General features: G+C 41.4%; 1 protein-coding gene across 2 annotated transcripts in view; it reads right to left on the bottom strand.

Annotated features, from left to right (window-relative positions):
- The window catches only part of LOC101060212 (puromycin-sensitive aminopeptidase-like protein), a 41,091-nt gene that overhangs the window by 16,013 nt on the left and 10,440 nt on the right, over nucleotides 1–14,638 (bottom strand). For both annotated transcript variants that reach the window (XM_047437249.1, XM_047437250.1), the window contains exon 2: nucleotides 1,789–1,866. In XM_047437249.1, the coding sequence (XP_047293205.1) occupies nucleotides 1,789–1,866 (78 nt within the window). The remainder of the gene's footprint in view (nucleotides 1–1,788; nucleotides 1,867–14,638) is intronic.

Genomic DNA, 14,638 nt, shown 5'->3' with positions numbered 1-14,638 from the left:
AATAAGAATAAAAATCACCAATTATGTCAACACCCAGACATAATTATCATTTTATTTGTGCCATTTAGAGACATGATTCACCACCTTAAATATGTAATTTTATATTCTTCTTTTCAATTTTACATTATAATAAGCACTTTACAGGGTTAAGAATTCGCAAACCTCACTTTTAATTGCTAAGTATATTTCACTATATAGATATATCATTCCTGGCTTGATCATTTCCTTAGTGTTGAACAAATATATTAATTATAATTTTTTACTACCGTAAGTAATATCTCAGACACTTCTGGGCATAAAGTATTTTCTGTATTTATGACTTTTCCTTGGGATATATTCCTATTAGCAGAATTGCTGGGTCAAAGGACATGAACATATTTAGGCTCTTGATATACTGCCAGAATGCTTTACAAAAAAATTACATGGATTTATACTCCCCCCAGCGATATCAAGGCAGCCATATCATTGGGAATTTTTAAAATTTCAGCTCACATGAGAAGCAAAAATTTCTCATTACTAGGAGGCTCAATATCTTTTCGCATGTTTATTAGTCATTTACATTTTCTTCCTTTTGAATTATCTGTTCCTTTTCATTTGTTCATTCATCAAAGTCTTAGTACTTCACCAATTGATTGGTATATAATTTCTTCCACATATACTAAGCTCAGAAAGTCTATTTCTTTGTGCTTTTATACCTAACAATAGTAACATATCAACGTATCTTTCTTTCTGTGCCCTCAATAACACAATACCTATTTGATCTCTGGTTGTATATCAAAATCATCTGTGACCATTCACTTCAGGGATTTGGATTGAATTAATAGAAGATGGAGCTAGGTAAAAGTATTTTGTTTGTTTGTTTTAGACAGAGTCCCACTCTATCACCCAGGCTGGAGTGCAGTGGCATGATCTCGGTTCACTGCAACCTCCACTTCCTGACTTCTGGCGATTTTCTTGCCTCAGCCTTCTGAGTAGCTGGGAGTATAGGGATGAGCCACCACACTGGGTAATTTTTGTATTTTTTGGTAGAGATGGGGTTTTGCCATGTTGGCCAGGCTGGTCCCTAACTCCTGGCTTCAAGTGATCAGCCCGCCTTGGCCTCCCAAAGCGCTAGGATTGCAGGTGTGAGCCACCACGCCTGGCCTAGGTAAAGGTATTTTTAAAAAGGTAAAACTGGAAAACAATACATTACATTCTAGGATAGAATGATCTTTAGTTTTTGTCCTGTTTTTCTTGGCTTGTTTGTTTAAAGAGAATATAGAGTGACAGGAGGTGGAAACCCTGCTTTTCGTAGCCCAACTTCCGCAGAAGGAAATGCTGGTGGCCCAAAAGTTGCAACAAACCTCTTTAAAAAGCTCTTAATACAGCTGGGCGTGGTGGCTCCTGCCTGTAATCCTACCACTTTGGGAGGCCAGGGCGGGCAGATCGCTTGAGATCAGGAGTTCAAGACCAGCCTGGCCAACATGGCGAAACCTTGTCTCTACTAAAAATACAAAAAAATTAGCCGGTGTGGTGGTAGGCACCTGTAATCCCAGCTACTCGGGAGGCCGAGGCAGGAGAATCACTCGAACCTGGAAGGTGGAGGTTGTAGTGAGCCAAGATCATGCCACTACTCTCCAGCCTGGGCAATAGAGTAAGACTCCGTCTCAAAGTAAAAAAAAAAAAAAGCTCTTAATACTTAATCTGCTAATAACAACGAGGGAAAAAATGGCATACAATAAATTTCTCTGGAGGAAGTCAGATGTCACTATATTCATCACGAGATTTTACAAAAGCTATGTCTCTTACCTGTTTGCAGAGTACTAGGGAAAGACAAGGTGACTTTTTCATCTTCATTCTGATAGTTAAATCCTGTAGCATGTATTTCTGGAATGAGAAAAAAAAATACTTCACAATTCTGACTGGACTGACAAGACGAAATCAAGACTGCAACATTTTCAAGAGCAAAATCTCTACAAAAACTAAATATTCTTAATTTGGTGAATTAAGTTCCTATTAGCAAGAGTTTCATTTCAAATGAGCCTATTCTAGGTTACATTAACTACATTAAATATGCTCCTTAAAAATAATTACAAATTCTTTAAAATTCACAAAACGTCAGTGATGTACAGGAAAGAAGGCTTTATAAATGTGATGCTTTTCTATCAGATTCCTGTGTGACTATGATATTGTGATATTGCAGTCTTACTCATGAACATTTGAGACTTGGCAACTTGCCAAGATTTCAGTGTTAAAGATACATCAAGGAAAGGTCTGTTCCCCAAAGGTAAGTAGCAATTCAAACTAAGATATAAATCATACCCACTTCTGGTAAAATTCTTTGTTGTGGCCAGGCGTGGTGGCTCACGCCTGTAATCCCAGCACTTTGGGAGGCCGAGGCAGGCGGGTCACCTGGGGTCAGGAGTTCAAGACCAGCCTGACCAACACGGAGAAACCCCGTCTCTACTAAAAATACAAAACTAGCCGGCTGTGGTGGTGCATGCCTATAATCTCAGCTACTTGGGAGGCTAAGGCAGGAGAATCGCTTGAACCCGGGAGGCAGAGGTTGCAGTGAGCCAAGATCGCATCATTGCACTCCAGCCTAAACAACAACAGAGAAACTCTGTCTCAAAAAAAAAAAAAATTATTTGTTGTTACATGAAAACAGGTATGCAAATTGAATTAAGGCTTTGACTTACTCTCTGCCAGGAATGAGAAGAGACTGCTTATTTGACTGATACTTTAGGATGCTTGGACATGTTAGGGAAATAACCAAAGACACCAACTTCCAACTATGTCCTATCCCCATTCCAAATGAAAAGCTGGCCAATCAGGCCGGACATGGTGGCTCACACCTATAATCCCAGCATTTTGGGAGGACGAGGCGTGTGGATCACCTGAGGTCAAGAGTTCGAGAACAGCCTGGCCAACATGGCGAAACCCCATTTTTACTAAAAATATAAAACTTAGCCAGGCATGGTGGCAAACGCCTCTAATCCCAGCTATGCGGGAGGCTGAGGCATGATAATTTAGAATTGCTTGAACTCAGGAGGCGGAGGTTGCAGTGAGCCGAGATTGTGCCACTGTACTCCAGCCTGGGCGACAGAGCGAGACTCTGTCTCAAAAAAAGAAAAAAAAAAAAAAAGTATAAGGTAGGATGTAGAGAAACTGGAGCATATATTGATAGTGGGAATGTAAATGGTGCAGCCACTTTTGGAAAACAGTTTGGCAATTCCTCAAAAGGTTAAATACAGAGGTATCATGTGATACAGCAATCCCATTCCTAAGTATATGTCCAAGAGAAATGAAAACACATGTCCACATAATGTTTGTATACAAATGTTCATAGTAGCATTATTTATAATAATCCCAAAATGAAAACAACTCAAATGTCCATCAACTGATGGAATAGATAAAATGTGGTATATCCATACAACTGAATGTTATTTGACAATAAAAAGAAATGAAATAGCTGACACATGCTACAACGTAAATAACCTTGAAAACATTATACTAAGAAACCAGCCACATATTTGTCCATAACAGGGCAATCTATGGAGGCTGAAAGTAGATTCATAGTTGCCTAGGGCTAGGTGATAGAGGGGAAATAGGCAGGGTACTTTCTTTCTGGAGTTCAGAAAGTGTTCTAAAATTGATTGTGATGATGGCTGTACAACTCTGTAAATAGACTAAAAACCGCTGAATTGTATGCTTTAAATATTAATAGATGACATGTATGGTATGTGAATTATACATCAATAAAGCTATTATTGAGGTGGGGAGAAAGGAAAGTACTACAGAAAGACAAGGGAGGAGAGGTGGCCATGAGTACCTTTATCAGTCACAGGATGCTGTGGGTAACAATGATTCAGATTACATAACATTTTACAGGCAAGATGCCCATAATTCTTCCTTTCTTTTATGAATCACCCAAATATAGGATTTCAAATGTTTCTGCTGTCACTATGGTTCACACATTTTTATAAAGCCAAAATCTCTACAAAACCAATTAAGAAACTGTAATTTCAGATTTTAAAAGAACTTTAATAAATCCTCTAATCAAATCTTCCTCATTTTACAGATGAAGAAAATGAGACATATAAAGTTAATGGTTTGTCACATGTTAACTAGCTAGACTACAACTCAGTTCCCTCACTTCTATTGCCAAAATTATTTCTACAATCACAAGCTAGCTCCTAAATTTGTTTGGTTTTGTTTTGTTTTTTGAGACAGGGTCTCACTTTGTTGCCCAGGCTGGAGTACAGTGGCACTATCTCAACTCACTGCTACCTTTCCCATCAGGTTCGGGAGATTCTCCCACCTCAGCCTCCGGGGTAGCTGGGGACTACAGGCGTGAGGTGCCACTAGGCCCATCTAATCTTTTGTATTTTTAGTAGAGACAGGGGTTTCCCCAGGTTGTCCAGCCTGGTCTCAAACTCCTGGATTCAGGCAATCTACCCACCTCAGCCTCCCGAAGTGCTGGGATTACAGGGCTGAGCCACCGTGCCTGGCCCAGCTCCTAAATTTGAATAGAAATCAAATTTGACAAGAATCACTTCAATGCTTAAGAATGTTCCTTTCTGGGCTGGGCGCAGTGGCTCACGCCTGTAATCCCAGCACTTTGGGAGGCCGAGGTGGGTGGACCATGCGTGGTGGTGCATGCCTGTTATCTCAGCTACTTGGGAGGCTGAGGCAGGAGAATCACTTGAACCTGGGAACGGAGGTTGCAGTGAGCCAAGATGTGCCACTGCACTACAGCCTGGAGACAGAGTGAGACTCTGTATCAAAAAAAAAAAAACAAAAAACCTACAGCTGTTGAATAAAAAGGTAAACAACCCAATTTAAAAATGGCAAGACTTAAACTTCACAAAGGAAAATTTATAAATGGCAAAAAAAAAAAAAAAGCACATAAAAAAGTGTTCAGCATCATTAGCCATTAAGGAAAGGCAAATTAAAATCACAATGACATATCACTACACATCCATTAGACTAGGCTATTAAATGACTGACAATAAAAATGTTGCCCAGGGCCAGGCATGGTGGCTCTTGCCTGGAATCCCAGCACTTTGGGAGGCCAAGGCAGGAGGATCACCTGAACCCAGGAGTTCAAAACCAACCTGGGCAACACAGGAAAAATAAAAAAAAATTAGTCATACGTGGTGACACAAACCTGTGGTCCCAGCTACTCCAAAGGCTGAGGCAAGAGCATTGCTGAAGCCTAGGAGGTTGAAGCTGGAGTGAGCCATGAACATGCCACTGCACTCCCATCTAGGTGACAGAGTGAGACCCTGTCTCGAAAAAGAAAAAAAAATGTGCAGGGTGTAGCACAATAACTAGAAGTCATGCTGGTGGTGCCTCTTTTACTATTCAGACTGTAAGCATTTTCCAACCCCAGGGTTTCTGCATCTGCTTGCAAAGTCTCCAGATATCTAAACACTTTATGTCATTCAGGCCTCTGCTCAAATCACTTTTTTTTTTTTTTTTGAGACAGGGTCTCACTCTGTTGCCCAACCTGGAGTACAGTGCTGCCATCTTGGCTCACTGCAACCTTGACCTCTCAGGTTCAAGTGTTCCTCCCACCTCAGCCTCCCAAATAGCTAGGACTACAGGCGCCCACCATCACACCCGACTAATTTTTGTATTTTTTATAGACATGGGGTTTCACCATGTTGCCCAGGCTGGCCTCAAACTCCCGAGCTCAAGTGATCCTCCTGCCTCAGCCTCCCAAAGTGCAGGGATTACAGGCATGAACCACCACACGAAGCCTCGAATCATCTTTTTTTTTTTTTGAGATGGAGTCTTGCTCTGTCGCCCAGGCTGGCATGCAGTGGCATGATCTTGGCTCACTGCAACCTCCGCCTCCCGGGTTCAAGCACTTCTGCCTCAGCCTCCCGAGTAGCTGGGACTACAGGCACGCACCACCACGCCTGGCTAATTTTTGTATTTTTAGTAGAGACGGAGTTTCAGCACGTTGGCCAGGATGGTCTCAGTCTCTTGACCTCATGATCCACCCGCCTCGGCCTCCCAAAGTGTTGGGATTACAGGTGTAAGCCACCACGCCCAGCCTCAAATCACTTCTTTAAAGATCTGTTCTATCAACTTGAAGAACAATCCTCATTCTATACCCTCTTGTGATTTTACAGCACTTATCACTACTTTACATCACATATTTGCTTGTTGCCTGTCTTCTCAAATATCAGAAATGTTGATGCTTGATTTTGTTCACAGCTCTACTTCCAATGCTAGCAGTTTCTGGCACATAGTGTGTGTTCAGTAAGTATCTGTAGAATGAATGAATCACTTCAAAAGCAACAGACTAAGTAATTATGTCATGGAGATCATTAATGCTACTCATATGAAATATATTAATGAAAAATCACATTTACTAATGTTATGTGAATAGAGACATGGCTAGGGATAAAATTTCCAGTCACAACATAATATACTGATTCAAATAAGGATCTATCTCAAACCTCTTAGAAGATAATATTTGCTCTGGAACTGTTAGACTGTTTAAAGGGTAGAAACCCATAAATACTGAAGATGCATATGAGAAGTCTGAGGAGGCTTCACTGGAGAAAAAAGTATTTCTAAATTAATGTTTACATTAATACTAATATATAATTAGTATATTTATATATTATAGTAATATATAATACTGATATGATAAATGAATAATTCATTCACTAATACAGTTTGCAATATATTCATAATTGGAAATGTATATATGTAAATTAAGCATTGTACATAGACACTTCACTATATATCGTGTATCAATACAACTTAAACTTGATCGAAAACTTTTAAAAATGGAGTATGAGAGAATCTTATAAGGTATATATGATTATTCAATTCTCTAAGCCTCCGTTTCCACACCTATAAAATTAAAATCATATCATTACCTAATTCTTTCTTTTTAAAATTGAGATAAGGGTCTCACTATGTTGTTCAGGCTGGTCTCAAACTCCTGGGCTCAAGCACTGGCAATCCTCCCACCTCAGCCTCCTGAGTAGCTGAGATTATAGGAGTATACCATTGTGCCTGGCACCTGCTTCTTAATTAAAGATTGGGGGCCAGGCACGGTGGCTCACACCTGTAATCCCAGCACTTTGGGAGACCGAGGTGGGAGGATCACTTGAGGTCAGGAGTTTGAGTCCAGCCTGGCCAACATGGTAAAACTAAACATACAAAAATTAGCAGGGCATGGTGGCGTGCGCCTGTAATCCCAACTACTTGGGAGGCTGAGGCAGGAGAATCGCTTGAACCTGGGAGGTAGAGGCTGCAGTGAGCTGAGATCGCACCACTGCACTCAGTCTGGGCAACAGAGTGAGACTCCATCTCAAAGAAAAAAAAAATTATATAATATACTCTTATATAAAACACACAGCACAGTTCCTAGTTATTGTTAAGAAACATTTTTCAGGGCCGGGAGCAGTGGCTCACGCCTGTAATACCAGCACTTCTGGAGGCCAAGGAGGGCGGATCACGAGGTCAAGAGATCGAGACCATCCTGGCCAACATGGTGAAACCCCGTCTCTACTAAAAATACAAAAAATTAGCTGGGTGTGGTGGCACGTGCCTGTAGTCCCAGCTACCCAGGAGGCTGAGGCAGGAAAATGGCGTGAACTCGGGAGGCGGAGCTTGCAGTGAGCCGAGATCGTGCCACTGCACTCCAGCATGGGCAACAGAGCAAGACTCCATCTCAAAAAAAAAAAAGAATCACTTTTCTAGATCATAACACACCTTACAGTTCTTTATTGATCCAACTGCAATTGGTCCATTATATACATATATATAACAGCTTTTGCTGAAACTACTTATTAGGCCTTTTAAATATAATTAGCATTTTAAAATCTATAAACATATATATTTGGGTATAAGCATCTATGTGTAAGTGTGTTAGTCATCTATTAAATAGAAGTAAAATTTGATTATAAACATAGCATGTATAAAACCATGACCAGGCTGGGCATGGTGGCTCATGCCTGTAATCCCAGGACTTTGGGAGGTCAAGATGGGCAGATCACCTGAGGTCAGGAGTCTGAGACCAGCCTGTCCAACATGGTGAAACTCCATTACTACTAAAAATACAAAAATTAGCCAGGCGTGGTGGTGCACGCCTGTAATCCCAGCTACTCGGGAGGCTGAGGCAGGAGAATCGCTTGAAACGGGGAGGTGGAGGTTGCAGTGAGCTGAGATCACGCCACTGCACTCCAGCCTGGCTGAGAGAGCGAGACTCCGTCTCAAAAAAAAAAAAAACAAACAAACAACAAAAAAAACCATGGCATTATAAAATGACCATAAGCAAAATCAAAAGAGAAGTATATATTGGGGAAAAAATGCTCCAACTCATGATGGAAGGTTAATTTCACTCAAATATAAAGACCACGTTTTAAAAAATCAATAACAAGAATAAGAATAACACTGAAATTTAAAATGGACAAATATGAATAAATTACAGAAAAAGGAAACATAAATGGTTTTTAAAATATAATGAAGAGATTCTTTTTTTTTTTACAATTAACTAAACTTTTTTTAAAATTAACTAAAGTTGGTATTTCACTAGGACGATTTAGCAGATGAAATGGGTTTTAAGTTTAGAACACCATTTCTTCTTCCTTATTACATTTCCCTTTTTAATGTTAGCCCTCTACAAACACACACGTATATACACACACACACACACACACTCTGCATCAAAAAAGCCTTCCTACATTAATACTTGAGCATGATAACCTTACAATGAAAGGTAAATCATTAGTTGAATCATGAAACATTTTCTTCCCCTTGTGGAGAAAAATCAAATTGCTTTTCCTCTGCTCTTACACCACAATCATCAACACAGTAGACTTCTGTGACCAAATGTGTGGGGATTTCTCCCCACCAACAAGAAGCAATCAGTTCTGCAGAAGATACCACCAGCTGAGCACCTTCTAATCCAATTCAATTCTCATGCTATCTACCTGGAGATAGCATTAGATCCCACAGGCTGAGAGAGGGCTCAGTCTCACAAGACTGCCCCCACTTCAGACACTAGTTGTAAGGCCAGGCCTCATCCAGAACTTCTGGCCAACCAGCTTCAAGTCAGTGTTCCCATGACCCCCTTCTTAGGTTTGATTAATTTGCTAAAGCTGTGCCCAGAACTCAGGAAAACACGTGTACTGGTTTATTATAAAGAATAGCACAAAGAATGCAGATGAAGAGGTGCACAGAACAAGGCATGTGGGAAGGGGTGCAGAGCTCTCATACCCTCCCTGGGTGCACCACCCTCCAGGACCCTCCACGTGTTCAGCTATCTGGAAGCTCTCTGTACCCGGTCCAGGACTTCACTGGACCGTCACGACTGAAGCATGGACAACCGGGTAGAAATATGATTGGACAAAGTAGGACCTAATGCTAACAGACTGAGTGGGGAAACCTAGCAAGGCCTCTCTGTTCAGAGTCTTCTTGGCCTCTCTGTGCAACTTCTTTCCTCCCAAGTACAGGGCAGGATGCCTTCTGAAATGGGGGTCTTATGACCTCCAATCAGACAAGGTAGGTCAGATAATTTCTTTGCTGTCAGCTCCAAGACAGAATGTTGGGGGATGATCAGAGTATATTTTTAGTTTCTATTGCCTGCTTGGGGAGAAAAAGGAGCAGGTAAAAGCAAGGCAAGAAAAGGTCAGAGAGCGATTCTGTTTTCTGAAGCCTGCTTCTGAGGTTTAAAGTGCCCCAACGTTATTACAAAAGACCATCTTTCACTTTTATTGATCTGAAGCTGTACTGAAGCCACTTCAAAAACCAAGAATAAAAGGCCAAATATTTCAATAAAATATATGTATATTGTTTTAGTCACTTAGGAAATAACAGGGACTATGGGTGTTCTATGACAGAAACTGTGGATGAAAACCAACATATGTATCATAATATCATAGCACCCTCCCCAACCTTTTTTTTTTTTTTTTTTTTTTTTTTGTTTGAGACAGGGTCTCACTGCATTGCGTAGGCTTGTCTTGAACTCCTGGGCTCAAGCAATCCTTGTGCCTTGGCCTCCCAAAATGCTGGGATTGCAGGCATGAGCCACTGTGCCAGGCCCCCTTTATGTCTATACATAATAAAACTTAATCACATAAAAGGAGGTATAGGGAAAATGAGAAGTACAAGATGGTATTTCAAGAGGCAACATTAAAAAAAGATTGAAATTTTTTAAAATAGCTGAAATCATTATTGCTTATACCATCTATACAAGCATCTAGTGGATTCTGCCTAGGCATTACATTGAGATACAGAAATAAAATCTTCTAAAATTTCAATATCAGAAGTGCCAAGTCAACTGTACTTCAAATTTTCCTTTACAAATTATCTATTTGAAACTCAGAATGTATTTTCCTCCAAGCCACTGCTATACTTAAACAAGTAATCTAAACCACATAATTCTATATAGCCCACATATACCAGTGTAGCTCAGTACTAGATCAAACACATTGTGAGGTTTTATTTTGTTTTTTTATTCAGATAGCAACTTCCCTATCATATTGTTTATGTGGTTTTAGAAAGCAGTTCAGGTGCAAAAAAATAAAGTTCACAGTTCAAAGAAGGCCTACAGTGACTACCTGCTACTTGGAACATACTTTGTTTCTCCACAAAGCTGAAAATAATGTTGCAATGGGAAAGAAAACACATCATTCTGGAGGATATCCAAGGGGGATTCAAGTGAAAAATGGAACCAAGAACTTACTTTGCAAAGCTTCAAGGTGACCTCCTTCTCACCGTAGGGCATAAAAGCCAATCAGATATATGCATAGTTACAGTTCAAGCAGTACCTATACTGACAGGTCCCATATTTTCAAATGGATTTCACATTTATATAACATAGTGATGGTTCTATCCTATTAGGCTATCTAAAAAGTCTAAAAAGAATGAGCATGTGCCAAATATAAATCTGGTTCAACAGAATCAAAAAATTCCTTCTAGGGTGCCCCTGCTCTTAATAAATGACTGTGAACTATTTCATTAAAATCACTCAGGATTCTGGACCAGGATTTCCATTGATTATGTGGTCTTACACGGTTACTTAATTTGTCTAGGTCTCAGTTTATCTTTTTTTTTTTTAAAGGATTTTATATTTGGGTAATAGAGGAGTATATAATTCAAACTAATTATCTCTCTCCTACTTGACACCCACAAAACTAAAAAAGCTGGAAGGAAGGGAAAACTTCTCCTTAAAAGAATCATAGAACAAGATAAGGTGATCAAGATGAAGAAGAGGATGAAATTCCATGAAGAGGAAGCTTTGCATTCTAGGCCACTTTTGCTCTGGGGTCATTTGCTGATCTAGCAGAGATGTAGCAGATTTGGAAGCTGAGGCTATAGGCCCCAGGGACAAAAGTGGAAATCCAGGGCCCATCAACACTGGGGGCTTTGTGGCTGGGTGGGCACTGTGTCTGTAATCCCAGCATTTTGGGAGGCGAGGTGGAAGGACTGCTTAAGCCCAGGAGTTTAAGTAACATAGTCTATCTAGGTAGCACAGTGAGACTCTGTCTCTATTAGAAGAGACAAGACAAGACAAGACAAGAAGCTTGAGTAAATGACCCCCTGCTTTGGGCTTGAAACCAAAAAAGTGATATCCTACCAGGAAAGATGAACAAGAAGAAAAGCAGTCCACAAGTGGAATGTGATTAAACTTCTGAACATCTGAAGCCCAGACACTGGAAAAAGATGAACCTTAAGTATTAGTAACCAACGGGGAACAAAACAAAGCTCCCCTAGATACTAGCAAACTATTCATATACCTGCTTACTATGTTCAAAAATATAAAATCCCAATCCTGAAAAATTTGGCAAGTAACGCGAAGTTACTTTAAAAAAACAAACAAACAAACAAAACCCCCAAAAAAACCCAAAACCAAGCAAAACAAAGAAAACAAGCAAATCTGGAAAAATTAATTCTAGAACAAAAATATGTAATAAGAAAAAACAGGCCAGGCACGGTGTCTCATGCCTGTAATCCCAACACTTTGGGAGGCTGAGGTGAGAGAATCCCTTGAAGCCAGGAGTTCGAGACCAGCCTAGGCAACAAAGCAAGACCCCATCTCTACTAAAAAAAATTAGCCAGGCACCATGGTAGCGTATATCTGTAGTTCCAGCTACTCAGGAGGCTGAGGTGGGAAGATCACTTGAGTTCAGGAGTTTGAGGTTGCAGTAAGCTGCGATCCTGTCACTGCACTCTGGCCTGGGTGACAGAGCAAGACCCTGTCTTTTTTTTTTTCCCTCTTTTTTGAGATGGAGTCTCGCTCTGTTGTCCAGGCTGGAATGCAATGGCGCAATCTCGGTTCACTGCAACCTCCGTCCGCCTCCCGGGTTCAAGCAATTCTCCTGCCTCAGCCTCTCAGGTAGGGGGGACTACAGGCATGCGCCACCACGCCCGGCTAATTTTTTGTATTTTTAGTAGAGACAGGGTTTCACCATGTTAGCCAGGATGGTCTCGATCTCCTGACCTTGTGATCCACCCACCTCGGCCTCCCAAAGTGCTGGGATTACAAGCGTCAGCCACCACACCCAACCGCAAGACCCTATCTTAACAAAAAAAGAGGCCGGGCATGGTGGCTCACGCCTAGAATACCAGCACTTCGGGAGGCCAAAGCAGGCAGATCAGCTGAGGACAGGAGTTCAAGACCAGCCTGGCCAACATGGTGAAACCCCGTCTCTACAAAAACACAAAAATTAGCCAGGCGTGGTGGCAGGCGCATGTAATCCCAGCTACTTGGGAGGCTGAAACAGGAGAATCGCTTGAACCCAGGAGGCAAAGACTGCAGTGAACCGAGATCTAGCCACTGCACTCCAGCATGGGTGACAGAGCGAGACTCCGTCTCAAAAAAAAAAGTGGGGGGTGGGCCAGGTGTGGTGGCTCATGCCTGTAATCCCAGCACTTTGGAGGCTGAGGCATGTGGATCACTTGAGGTCAGGAGCTCAAGACCAGCCTGGCCAACATGGTGAAACCCCATCTCTACTAAAAATAGAAAAAATTAGCCAGGAATGGTGGCACAAGCCTGTAATCCCAGCTATTTGGGAGGCTGAGGCAGGAGAACTGCTTGAACCTGGGAGGCAGAGGTTGCAGTGAGCCGAGATCACACCACTACACCCCAGCCTGGGCAGCAGAGCGAGACTCCATCTCTAAATAAATAAATAAAAATTAATTAATTAATACAAATAAAAACCCACAAAAATGAGCCAGGTGTGGTGGCGTACACCTGAAGTCCCAGCTACTCGGGAGGCTGAGGCACAAGAATTGCTTTAAGCCGGGAGGTGGAGGTAGCAGTAAGTTGAGATAGAGCCACTGTACCCCAGCCTGGGTGACAGAGACTCTGTACAAAAAAAAAATAACACGGAATCAAATCATAATTGCCTGGGGAAGGAGCAAGGAAAAGGGGAGAAAAGGATTATAAAGGGGCATGAGGAAATGTTCTAGGGTGATGAATATGCTCATTACCTGGTTACATTCATGAGAAAACTTATCAAATTACATATTTTAAGATGTACCCTTTATAGTATGTCAACATTACAGGTACTCTCACAAAGCTATCAACAAAAATAGGAAAGAAGCAGCAGCAAGCAACAACAGCCATAACTACTGCCTGGAGAATTTCCCCCAAAACAAACAAACCAAAAAAAGTGTGGGCTGCAGCTAAAAGCAGTACATTTTTAGGATTAAAATTTATATTTAAATGAATATAATAGAAAGAAGGACTGAAAAGTAATAAGCCAAACATCCATCTCAAGACTTCTGTTTGTTTTTTGTTTTTTTTTAAGGGCAGTCAAGTGAAGCAGTGGGAGTGAAGGAGGAATAAAGAAATCTGTAACTGGCTATGATTGATGAGTTATAAACACCACTGCACTGGGACCAGCCTAAAGAAGTTTTTTTAAATCTGCAAAGTAGACCGGGCACGGTAGCGGTGGCTCACACCTGTAATCCCAGCACTTTGGGAGGCCAAGGCGAACCGATCACTTGAGGTCAGGAGTTTGAGACCAGCCTGACCAACATGGTAAAACTCCGCCTCTACTAAAAATACAAAAATTAGCTGGGTGTGGTGGCACATGCCTTTAATCCTAGCTATCAGGAGGCTGAGGCATAAGAATCACTTGAAACCAGAAGGCAGGGATTGCAGTGAGCCAAGATCACGCCACTGCACTCCAGCCTGCGTGACAGAGTAAGACTCCGTCTCAAAAATAAAAAAAAAAAACCTTGCAAAGTAAACCCAAAGGAAGCAGAAGTTAATAAGGAAATAATAGTTAACTGAGGTCTACAAAGCAATGGTTAGTTCTTTGAGAAAAAAAGCAAGAAAACTGAAAAAGATCTGGGATCAAGAAAAAAGTAAAACAGGCTGGGTGCGGTGGCTCATGCCTGTAATCCCAGCACTTTGGGAGACCACGGCAGGTGGATCACAAGGTCAGGAGTTCGAGACCAGCCTGGCCAACATGGGAAACCCCATCTCTACTAAAAATACAAAAATTAGCCGGGCGTGGTGGCCTGCGTCTGTAGTCCCAGCTACTTGGGAGGCAGAGGCAAGAGAACTGCTTGAACCCGGGAGGCAGAGGTTGTAGTGAGCCGAGGTCACGCCAGCACAAGACTCCATTTCAAAAAAAAAAAAAAAAGTAAAACAGAAGGCACAAATAAATAAAAT

Source organism: Homo sapiens, chromosome 17, assembly GCF_000001405.40.
Source record: "Homo sapiens chromosome 17, GRCh38.p14 Primary Assembly".
NCBI lineage: Eukaryota > Metazoa > Chordata > Mammalia > Primates > Hominidae > Homo > Homo sapiens.
This window is presented reverse-complemented; position numbering and strand designations above follow the sequence as displayed.